General features: G+C 37.2%; 2 long non-coding RNA genes across 2 annotated transcripts in view; both read left to right on the forward strand.

Moving 5' to 3' along the window:
- LINC01317 (long intergenic non-protein coding RNA 1317) overlaps positions 1–13,059 on the forward strand; it is a 590,861-nt gene that overhangs the window by 360,262 nt on the left and 217,540 nt on the right. The gene's annotated exons all lie outside the window — the stretch shown is intronic.
- LINC01318 (long intergenic non-protein coding RNA 1318) lies at positions 79–2,403 on the forward strand. The gene is made up of 3 exons (NR_132381.1): positions 79–156; positions 1,067–1,133; positions 1,952–2,403. It is a non-coding gene; the product is annotated as a long intergenic non-protein coding RNA 1318 (long non-coding RNA).

The raw sequence follows: 13,059 nt of genomic DNA on the forward strand, positions 1-13,059 counted from the left end.
CATTATTACCTCATTGTTTATTTCATCATTACCTCTTATTGTTTAAGAAGTAAAAGATAACATCAGCAGTTTATTTCCATTAGGGATTCAATCAAAAAGTAGAAAGCCAGGGCACAATGTTACTTTGCAATTTCTCTACATTCAAAGACTAAAGAGGTAAAAGATGACACTGTTTAGGCTTACAATTTAGATTTGAGCTGTTTTGTTTATTTTTACAATGCATATCTCAGTAACATAGGAGGAATTTATAAGTTGTTGAATGAGTGAATCTAGGCTTCAAGGTCACATATATGTTATTACATACAGTCTGCCCTCTGTATCTGTGGGTTCTGCATCTGTAGATTTAACCAAGATTGAAAATACTTGGAAAAAAAGAACAGTAAAAAATAACAATACAATAATAAAGTATAACAACTACTTACGTCGCATTTAGATTGTATTAGGTATTATAAGTAATATAGATGTAATTTAAAGAGTACAGGATACAATAAATTAGCCAGGTGTGGTGGTGTGTGCCTGTAATCCCAGCTACTCGGGAGGCTGAGGCAGGAGAATCGTGAACCCGGGAGGGGGAGGTTGCAGTGAGCCAATTTGGTGTCATTGCACTCCAGCCCAGGCAACAGTGCAAGACTCCATCTCAAAAAAAAAAAAAAAAAAAAAAGTACACGAAACTGTGTGTAGGTTCTATGCAAATCCTATGCCATTTTATACAAGGTACCTAGCATCTGTGAGTTTTGGTATCCATAGGGGTCCTGGAACCAATTCCCAGGAGATACAGAGGGACAACTGGACATATAAATAAGTCAATCTCAAAGTATTCATTGACAAAGAGTATACAAACTGTCCTTGTCTACTGTGGAACAAAGGACAGAAAATAGCAACAGAAATGACATAGGTTAGAGTCACATCTGAGAGTTCAAATGATACTTGACAGTAGAATGGTAGCAGAGAAAGAAGGGATATCCCTTCTCTAGAAGAGATTCTGTTCTCCTTGGAGCAATTTAAGGCTAATCTTGATGCGCTTGAAAATCTCTCAACATGTTTTTTTCTATCCCTTTAATTTTAGGATTGAAAGGAACCCAAAATCTTCTTTACTGCTGGGATAGACATTGATGTCTTCTGTATGGGTTTAGGTAACTCTGATGCAGTAGAAAGTGTCCAACAAACACAGTGCAGTATATGAGTAGTTTGGTTGGTTTCTCAGTGGGCTACTTTAAGTAAATTTATTGAAGCATTTTTGATGTATAATTCTATAAGGCGTAAAACAATTTATGGGCCTTTTTACCTCCAATGAATCACCCTGAGGGCATATGGCAGGTTCATCTGGGCCTTTTGATGTAACAAAGGGAGATTGTGACTTACTGCTCTTGTGACTAATTTCATGTAGGTTGCTTTTGTTTATGGACAAACATAAATGAATCACCACATACATTTCAATGGCTTTACAGAAATATATAAACAATACATTTCAGTTTCTGACTGTGACAGCTTCCAAAATGATGATAACATACAGACTGGAAGATACGGCAACTCTACAACTTCCTTTCATAGTCTTCCTGGCCAGATGATTCTTACTCTTAGAATTTTACCTTTAGACTGGGCAAGGCAGACCCCTGTTCCAGGTCCTGCACTTTATGAGGCCTCATGTATCACACAAAAACACAGAGATTACATTTGTTAAATAACGTGATATTATATCACCTTGTACCTGTTAGACTATTACAGTGAAGATGAAAGATAACAAATGTTGGAGAGGATGTGAAGAGAACCCTTGGATACTGTTGATGGAAATGCAAATTAGTAGAGTCATTATGGAAAATGATATTGAGGTTCCTAAAATTATTAAAAATAGAATTACCATATGATCTGGCAATTCCACTACTGGGTATATATCCAAAAGATATGACATAAGTATGTCAAAGATATATCTACACTCCTGTGTTTATTGCAGCATTATTCACAATCGCCAAGATACAGAATCAACCTGAGTGCATCAGTGAATGAATGGATAAAGAAAATGTGATATACATACACAATGGAATACTATTCAGCCTTAAAAAAGAAGGCAATCCTGTTATTTGCAACAACGTGGAGGAACCTGGAAAACATCACATTAAGCACAGAAAGACCAACTACTGTATGATCTCACTTACCTGTGGAGTCTCAAAAGGTTTATCTCATAGAAGTAGAGAATAGAATGGTGGTTACCAGGAACTATGGGTTAGGGAGCTTGAAGAGATATTTGTCCAAAGAGACAAAATTTCAGTTAGATAGGAGGAAGAGTTTCAAGATACCTGTTGTATAGCGTGGTCACTATACCTAATAACAGCATGTTATATTCTTGAGAATGACTAAGAGAAGATTTCATATTCTCACCACAAAAAATAAGTATGTGAAGTAATGCATTAATTAATTAGCTTGACTTCATTATTCCACTATGTACGTTTCAAAACGTGTTGGACATGATAAATATATGCAATTTTTATTAACTTTTTTAAAGAACATGTGTTTACTTCTGTCACTTGGGATCCAGAACTTAGCACTGGCACAGTATAATCTGAAACCATGAACATTCATTCTCATGATTAACACTGTTCAGGCCTCAGAGAAAGCACTTCTCTATGTCTTGCCCTGTGTTTTCAAAACAAAAGGCAATTATGTCCAAATGCTATAAAAGTTTGTGAGTTGTGCTGCTGCCAGTGTCACAGATGGATAGTGCTTTGAAATGAGAGAGGATCTGAGTGGCAAAAGCACATAGATTTTTTAAAAGGCAAATAATTTGTATCAATTTAGGTTTGGTTAGGACCACTTTAGGTGTTATGAAAAAAGGACATTTATTAAAGGAATTAGGGTTAACACAATATGGGGAAGAGCTGAGAGAGTGAACACTGGAAAATCTTCAACTGGAGGGTCAGGGAAATGGTCACTAATAGTTACGCTGAAGCAATAAAACACATGATTTCTAAAAGGTTATTAGGAAACTTCTGCAATATCAGTATCTCTGGGAATCTTCCTACCAACTGTCAGGCTACCACAGAAATGTGAGTGCCTCTGAATTGCCTGGGAAGCCACAGTGCATCCTCATCTGCCCATAATTCTAGACACCATGAACTCCTAAGAATAATGATCTCCCCTCCATTCTGCCTGCAAAGTACCACAGGAGTTTTTCTAATTGAAAAACTATAACTCAGAACTATACAAAGTTGTGGATCCTGGAAAATGTAGTTCCTGACTACTCTGCAAGATGAGGCAGAGAGAAGGGGTGATGGTGAGTTGACAGCAGAGAACTGAACACAATGCACTCCTTTGTCAACTCAGCAACCGTGCATGACACTTCTCCCTATATTTAATTTCGGAATAAAGGCAAATACAACATCTTGCTTCCAACTAATACTATGCAATTAACCTTAATTCAAGTGTACACATTCTTTTTCCCAAAAGGGAAAATGCCAAAGCTCAGATGTCACTTTATTCATCTCAGATAGTTCATGATTTCAATATTGAAATATAGAGTTGACTACTTTGAGCATATTTTATACTTGGTGGTATGAGGATGGAGGTGGAGGTTAATTTATGCAAATATGTACCTATCAAAGAATAAAGAAAATTACTAGCTTTTTTTTTTTTTTTACTAGCAATTTGTCACATGGCTGTTGTTGGTATTTATGGTATGAAAATACCAAATTGTCTTCCATGAAATGGGTCCTTGGTGCCAAAAAGGTTGGGGACCGCTGGCCTAGGGCAAAAAGATTCTGGATACCCTCTCCCATTACCCAGTGCATAATTGTTTTTTGCCCTAAACCAGTGGTCCTCAACCTTTTTGGCACCAAGGACTGGTTTTGTGGAAAACAGTTTTCCCGTGAACTTGTGGGGCAGGGGAAGGGATGGTTTCTGGATGGAACTGTTCCACCTCAGATCATCAGGCATTAGATTCTCATTAGGACCACACAACCTAGTTCCCTCACGTGCGCAGTTCACAATAGGGTTCCCACTTCTATGAGAATCTAATGCTACTGCAGATTTGACAGGAGACAGAACTCAGGTAGTAAAGCTTGCCCAGATGCCACTTACCTCCTGCTGTGCACCCCAGCTCCTAACAGCCACTGACTCAATACTGGTCTATGGCCTGGGGACTGGGCATCCCCGCCCTCTGCAAGTACATCAGGTAGTCATAGTTTGCCTAGTGGGAACTCAGAACTTGTGCCTATGTTGCTAACAAGTTGCTCTCTCAGCAACGCTTGTAGCCATATCAGCCATGGTGAATGAAAATGCATGTTTCTGAGCCTACACTTACTCTCCACAACTCTGGCCATGGTTGATACACACAGAATAGAATATTTTGTCCATCTCATTGAGGAGCCTGTTCTGCTGTGTTTACCCTGCTAGAGTTACATGAGACACAAATATCGCTCACATTTTGTGCTCATTCTGATTCATCCACATCTTTTCACAGTTTTTCCAATTTTTCCATGTAGCTTTTTAAAAATCCCCAGCCATTCAGCTAAGTTGTTAACAACTGCCCACAAATAAGTGGAGATTCATCACTCATCTTCACTCTTCTTTCAGACAAAGCAGATAACTGCTCAAAGGTCTACCGGCAAGAAGGATATCCTTTAAAAAGTTCCCCTTCAAGACTCCTGCTACCATCCATTTGAGTGGTTTTACATTACCTTCTAGAACCGTTTATAAGCCATGCCCAACTGTTTTTCCCCTTCCAGTGAAGAGAAGATTCCCTGAGGCCATAATGTGAGGTGAGGAAGAAGAGGTATTGCAATAGGAGTAGACAACAGAGGAGTTTAAATCACTTGCGCATGCAACTGAGGTATCTTCAGGACCCAGTCTCAAATACAGCACTTCTGCTTGCTAATCTATTGCTGTCACCCACTTCAATCTTTATGGCTTTGTAGTTCAGAGAGTGCTCAACTTATGATGAGCAGTTCAGGTTACATAGTAACTCTGTGGCTTATGCCATGTATTCTGGGCCCAGTGTATAGCAGAAGCTGTAATTCAAAAGGAGAATGGGTTTATGCAGAAAAGGGTATGATTTACGCCAGAATCCCAGGGGTCTGCATGGTAATTTATCTTTAGGGTCTTGCCGAAGGCTCATACACATCTCTGTCAGATACCTCTTGTACTGGAGCACTGTATCATATGGCACAAATGGCTGAGCAGCTTGCAGAGCAATGTGGACCTGTCACAGAGCCTTTTCTTTCCTTACTCTGGATTAAAAACTAGAAATCTTACAAGTTGTTTGATCAATGTATCCCAGAAGCCTTCATGCCCAACTCTGACATATGTTGCCTTCAAAGCTGAAAGAGGCCACAGGCATTGTGCTTCTTTCTTGGTGGTGGTGGGTACCAGATATACCAGCTGTCTCTTCACCTCTGAGCTGATACATTGACATGCCTAAACCACTAAAAGGATGGAAACTTTATCGAAGCTACAGTATCCTGATTTATTGAGGGGTTTATTTCACATGCTTTGTCATACATGTGTGCAATCAAAGTGTCTAGCAAGGGATTGGATAAATTTTTCTGTAAAGGGCCATTTAGTAAATATTTTAGGCTTTATAGATCACAAACAATCTCTGTCTCTTCTTTTTCACCTTCCTCCTCCTCTTGTGCCCTCTCTTTCTCCTTCTCCTTTTCCTCCCTTTCTTCTTCCAACCCTTTAAAAATGTAAAAATCATTCTTAGCTAATGAGCTGTGCAAAATTAGGGTAGTTTGTAGAGCTTTACTTTGGGGCAATATTTTTCAAATTATCTGTGGTATGTAATTTTTAAAAAATTTTAAAATTTTCAACCCATCCAGACTGCCACTTTTGTAAAATACAATAAAAATGAGGAAAAATAAAATTATAAAGAAGTACAAAATACAAGTTTAAATTTTAGAATATTAACAAGTGGGGCAGGGTGGCTTATGCCTGTAATCCCAGCACTTTGGGAGGCCAAAGAGGGCAGATCACGAGGTCAGGAGATCGAGACCATCCTGGCTAACACGGTGAAACCCCGTCGTCTAAAGATACAAAAAATTAGCCGGGCGTGGTGGTGGGCGCCTGTGGTCCCAACTGCTCGGGAGGCTGAGGCAGGAGAATGGTGTGAACCCAGGAGGCAGAGCTTGCAGTGAGCTGAGATTGCACCACTGCACTCCAGCCTGGGCGACAGAGCGAGACTCTGTCTCAAAAAAAAAAAAAATTATATATATATATATATATATATATATAAACAAAATTTTAACAGACATAAAGTTATGCTGTCAAATTGCTGTAAAATTTCTAAATGCTTAATCTGAATTTCAGTACTTAATTCATTGCAGATTAATGACAAATAACCTTTAAATCCCCACCAGTATGGAGATTACGCTTTGCCTAATACTGATCTAGAGTATTTGTTACTTTCTGCTCACCAAGGCAATCAACATTTAATGGACTGCTGTCATGGTCAGTGGAATGGCCAGATTATTAAGATCCTTATACCCTAGATTAAAACAATAGTCTGGAAAGTTAATATATTCCTGAAAGAAGGGAGAAGAGGCGTATTGCTGCCCCTTCCTTTGTTTAAAAAAAGAAAAGATACAGAGGTGGAAAGGGAGAGGGAGAAAGATAATTCACAGATCAGCAGTTGCGTATCAGGTAGTAGAGTTTTTGTTGATTTTCTGGAGTAGCAGCTGTTAATTGGAGTCACTCCTCAATTAATTTATGACATTTTCCTGTAATTCTCCAAGATTCGTCTGGCTGAATAGGTGAGTTCAATGGGTATGTGAAACAAATAACTGTTGCTCTGTCTTGTAAATCCTTGTTGGTGGCCATAATCTCTATGGTCCCTTTGGCAACGCAGTTTTCCTTTTTGTTTTGCCACTCCTTGTCATGGACTGTGAGTGCCAATGGGGTCTTTGTAAGACAGAGTTATCGTTATCTTACAGCTGTACTGGGACACATCTGTTCTTATCTCTGGGAAATCTGGAAGTCTTGTATTGACACCTAAGCAAGATAATGATAGGTAGAGTAGTAATGTTGAAAGTGCTATTAAAAGTTCAAAATTTCCTTGGTGGAAGCCAGAACCGACTTTTTTACATTTTTAAGGGGGTGCAAATTAATGAGTTACACCTGATTTAGCCAGTTACACCGGCTGGTTTTGGCTATGTGGTGAGTGGGGCACAGAAGACCCCAGGGGAATCCTTTGCCTGAGCTCTCCTGAAACACTAAGAATCCTCACACATATCTTGATGGCTTATAAGCCTGAAGTAAGGCTCGTCCTGTGCAATTGAGGAAGGAACCTGGAGAGCTCTGCCTGGAAGTCCTTCGAGCCTCTGGATCTTCCTGTGCTGGCTTTCTTCCCATCTACCATTCACTTTGCTTATATATACATTTGTGTGAATGTATTCTGAGGAATTTTGTGAGACCTTTCAGTTCTCTGACCATGTGTAATCATTGTAAGGTTCTTATTTATTTATTTATTTAGAGGTGGAGTCTTGCTCTGTTGCCCAGGCTGGAGTGCAATGGCCTGATCTTGGCTCACTGCAACCTCCGCCTCCCAGGTTCAAGCAATTCTCCTGCCTTGGCCACCTGAGTAGCTGAGATTACAGGCACCTGCCATCATGCCCGGCTAATTTTTTTTGTAGTTTTGTACAGACGGGATTTCGCCATGTTGGCCAGGTGGTGTTGAACTCCTGACCTCAGGTGATCTGCCTGCCTCTGCATCCCAAAGTGCTGGGATTATAGGCGTGAGTCACGACGCCCGGCCGGTCATTACTCTCTTCAAATTTAATCAATCAGAGAACCAATTCCAGATTCTTATTCTTAAGACTATTATCCCTAGAACACTTTCCATACCAACAAGGCATATCAGTTTGAGTTTTGTCAGGAATATGGGAATAAAAGGGTTTAATAGGAGTTAGGGCTTCATAAATGTAGAAAGATTTTTGGGAATGAGGTTTGGAGAGGCTGTAGGCAGGAGGTCACAGTCACTGACCACCATTGATGTGGGTGATATTAAAAATGACTGCCATTTTCAGCATTTGTTGTGAAAATTCCCACTAGTAAGGAAAAAAGTAGCTATTTTTAATAATTTTGACTTAAAATGTTAATTATTAACTCTTAAATATTCAGACATGTAGTATATGGGCCTGCAATCATATTCTTGCCTGGTCCCTGTAAGTACAAGGGGCAAGCCTCAGTTTTCTCATGTTTCCTTGACAGAGCCTTTGCTTTGTGGAAATCTTGGGTTCGTTTACTATGTATCCCCTGATGATCATATTTGACCAACTCAGATTTTTCCTTCACTATCGTGGCGATCCGCTTTGTGCTTGTAGATGGTCTCCAGGGCTTTATGTTACCTCTAACATTGAGTCTTGAAGCCAGTATTATTAAGTTTGTATGAACTTAATAGACTGTCATGTAGTAAGTTTATTGTAGTATATTTGCAATTAGTGAAATAATTTCTTGGTAAATATGGGGAAGATTTTAGAGCTTATTTACCCCTATGGTTAAAGGAAGAATAATATATAATAATAAATGTTGTATGGCATTTTCTGGGAGTAGATGTTGAGCATTGTTAGACAAAGGGAGTGATTTGGGGCTCTCCCCTTTTACCCGTACTGTTTAACCAAAACCAAAGATGATTTGTTTTTATTTTATTTGTTTATATTTCTTGGTAATATTTTGTTTTAAAGTAGCTGTTTGGAAGTTAAAAAATGTTTAAAATACACTAAACTAATGCAAGTCCTTATTTTATATTTGAGGAGATTGAGGTCCAGAAAAATAAATGAACTTGCTTAAGTTTACATAATGAAATAATGATTGATCTGGGAGTAACGCCTAGGTCCCTGCAACCTGACTGTGCCCTTTCCAGTTTTCTTACAAGTGCTCAGATTGCAGAGATCAAAGAACTCTTGGAGCTCTTTAAAAAGAAACATGAAATGCCCTGCTAACTTGCTTTATTTAAATGCAAATAAAATTTCATGTCAATTAAATAATTTGTTACATTCTAGAATATATGAACATAAGCTGATGTTAGAAACACACACACACGCACACACGCACAGAGAAAAATAACTTGAAATTTAAAACATCAATATTTTCCCACATGCTTGTTTCCTTCAAGTTGGGAAAATGCTGTGTTAATGGTAGAGTACCTAAGTGTAACTGGAGAAATATCACTATTATCTGAATGCAGATGCAGAATTTGAGAACCTTATCCCACTTCATGCCATTTTTCACCCACAATTCCTAAGGCTCTGATTAAACGAAATTATAGCTAGTGTTTTATATATTTAAAATTGGCATCTATTTCATGTAATTGAAAAACAATTTCCTTAATCTCTCTCAGAAAGCTTAAGGAAATTAAATTCTGGTCTCTGGTAAGAGATTTAAAATGCATTCCAAAAACATGTTCTTTAATGTCTCTGAGTTTGGTCTTCGGTTGAAAAGTGTAAAGATTCAGAGAACAGTATTCAAGTGATCTGAAAACGTCTTATGATTTTTTAAGCATGTTCTAATATAAGTCTAAATTTTCTCTTTGATAAATCACTTTTTGCTAATCTAAAAAGAAGATTAATGCATCACAAATAGTTCAATTATATGTTATGGAGTTGAGTGTCATAAACATTAATAGAAAATTATCCAAAGTATGAAGATAAAAAATGAACTCTTAGGTAAGCTGAATCAGGTGCTCTTAGATCAAATTGGACTCTAAAAAATCTTATTTAACCCCTCAAGGGCTGTTTACCAGATATTTCATTTACAGTTGGGATGTTATATGACAAGTACATCCAATAGGGTGACAATCCATGAGGCGATTTGAAAGTTTGAGCATGTCTTTTCATTCTGCCTCTATAGTTGCTGAAATCTGTCTTTTGAATATTTCTGCTTTGAGGTTAAACAGTTTTAAAATATGGCAAAGCTGGTGAATAAAAATGTGATTTGTCATCATTGAGTATGGTGACAGTGTAGTCAGTCACCAATAAATGTTGAATATATTTATTCTATGTGCCAGATATCCAGGTGGTGATTCTGGAGGTGGAGATGTGAAAGGATATGGTTTTAGCTTGGGGTCTTCAGAATATGTGATGTAATGGATGAGGATGTGGGAGGTAATACTCACGATTATAGAGTTGCCCTAGGTGTTGCCAGACTAGAAATTGTTAATTGACTGGAATACAGTAGGTGGCTAAGAAAGATTTTAAAGTGACCGGCAGCTAAAAAGGAACCTTTCCAGGCAGAGAAAAGCAATGCATTAAGAGACAGTGAAGAAAGTGGTTCTTAGAAGAATCTTTAGAGGTCTTTAAATCGGGACTTGAGATACTATGGAGAGTAATTAAGTAGAACTGCTTGGACCTGGGATTGGGACAAAAAGAACTTCATTTTCTTAGGGACCAAGGATCCTGAGGAAACTAATTCTGGTTTCAACAATGGGGAGGGTTAACTGTGGAGAATGAGAATGAAGAGTAATGCTAGATGTTGATCTACTGGAAGATAAAATGCAAACAACCCCTAAGATTTAGATTAATTTCCTAAAATAAAGAAGATGAACGTTTGGCCTAGACACTCAGAATTTCTCACCTAACTGTTTACAATTCTATTCTGAGTACATACTATGCCTTTTCTTACTATTACTTTTACATTTTTTGCCACTCTCAACATGTCTCTCTCCCTTCCCTAAATCTTTATTCTAAGTAAATTCTTATACAGCTTTACTGAGTATAAATAGGTCATAAAAATGAACTCAAAAGTTTATATAAACATATAAAAAAAGACTGAATATGGTAGTGAAGGAAAAGATAAATTGTATTAACACATAGAATTGTCAGATTAAGCGAGTAAAAATACAGGAAACCAGTTACATTTGAATTTCAAATAAACTAAATATATTTTAATCTAGGTATTTCCCATGCAACATTTGGAAGATACTTATACTAAAAATGTATTTGTTGTTCATCTCAAATTTGTAATTAACTAGGTGTCTCATATTTTATCTGACAACCTAGTCCCAACTTCTTTCTGCAACTAAATTTCTTTCCATATCTTAATCCATTAGCTCCTTTATTCTGATTTCTTGGAAGATGTATAATTTTTTTGTAGAACTGATCCATTTATCTGTACTCTTGATTCCACTCTTTCCTATCTTTTCTGGGACCTTACTGTATCAGTCATTTTTTCCATTTTAAATTTTGTCTCCTCTCTCATGATATCCTCTTGTTTCCCTCCTACTGTCTTCATTAGCTCCTTTCTTGCTATAAAGTGTCTTTATTCAACACAATTTTCCTTCAAGGTTTTTCTTTCTCAAGCTACTTCCCTTACCTGCTAAGCAGTGGATCTCTACCTACTGATTTTTCTTCTTCACAATACTCTTGTATTTTAATTTTGTATTAATGTCTCAGTGTCTAAGCAGTAATAAGTCTCAAGAGTGGAAAAAGGGTAGTCAGGAGTCAGGGTGGGGCGTGAGGATCAGTGTGTTATCTAGAAGCTTCTAAGAATGGCAATTTGAGAAAAGGCTAAATGACAGCCAAAGGAAGAAGTAAAATTTAAAGTGAAAAACAATCATCCAAATAATAAAAACAGGTTTCAATAACATTTCTTAACATTTACTGAAACCTTCTTTGGTCCAGGTGCTCTGCTAAGTATTTATATTCATAGTCCATTTAATCCTTTCAACAGCTATATGCAATTTTATCACTGGTTCTTAGATTAAACAACTGAGGTTTTGTGGGGTTAAAAAAGAATACTTGCTCAAGATCACACAACTACTGAGTGATGAAGCAGGCATTTGAATATATAGGTTTTCTCTAAAACCAATGAGGTGGGTTCATAAATAACCATCACTTAAGCAGTTGAAATAAACAAATGCCTACCCAATTGCTTATATCAGTTTTAGTTAGCTCTTGAACTCTATGTTGTGTCAATATTGTAATTAATATTTACTCAGTTATTGGATGAAACATAAGTACTTAATTTTTAATGATATGATTGTTTTATTGTTTGGGGAAAGGCAGTCTGGATCGATGAAGACTAAAATTTCCATGTTATTCATTTTCCAGATGACATTTTTAATTGATACTAAAACAGTAACTTGGCCTACTGCAAATACTTACGAGTCTCCTTTAATTAACCAAGTTTCTGATATACCTTGAAATTTAACATCTCTCAGGCATTAAGTGATGGAAACATAGGTTGTAAAATGTGGACTTGAGTCTTAGTGACCATACAGTGTATTGTTTACGTTTTCAGTATTTTTATTTTCAAGTTTAGTTTGATTAATTTCAAAACCTCTCTCACTCCAGTTCAATAAACACTTACTCAGCGCTTGCTATGTGCATAGACTATATGGGTCTACAGTTAATAAAATAACAGCAAAGTCTTTGATTTTATGGAGGTCATTGGGGAAATGAAACTCACACATGTTATACAGGATGTTTAAAGTGATGCTGAGATCCTGGGCTGTGATGGCAACAGTAAGGCTCAAATGGAAGGCACCCATGTCGGGGGCATCATTAAAAATCGGTGACTGACGGAATATGTCAGTCAAGAGAGAGCTAAAATGGCAATTTGGAAAGCAAAAAAGAGAGGGAAAAGAATGAAATAACATCAGCTATATCAAGAAGTTTGGACAAGCAATTATTGACCAAGTTCAAAATTGTATTTCCTTGAAGTATTTCAACTTTAAAGGCTTCTTGTTCCAAAACTAAAATTTAAAATAGAATTTATCCTCTCTAATCCTCCTGCCATTCCAGTTTTATCATCTTCTCGTGTTCTGATTCTTCTCCATCATTTTCACATCAGTTTGACTATAAGAGAAAAATATTCAATATTGACATAACAATTATAGAATTTAGGTAGGATATCCTTATTTTATTTTAAAATGCAATGGGAAGTTGATACTTTGACCTTATTTAAAGCAAATGCATACACAATTTTTGGAAAAGGAATAATAGAATTTTCACTTGCATGTAAGGGGGCCAGGATTTTCAATGCAAGGGGCCCATGATTAAATACAACACAGGGTATTTAGAACTCAAAATAGTTACATGGCAGTTCCAATTCCAGATGCGTAATGTTTAGTCCTGA

The sequence above is a fragment of the Homo sapiens genome, chromosome 2, assembly GCF_000001405.40.
Source record: "Homo sapiens chromosome 2, GRCh38.p14 Primary Assembly".
Lineage (NCBI taxonomy): Eukaryota > Metazoa > Chordata > Mammalia > Primates > Hominidae > Homo > Homo sapiens.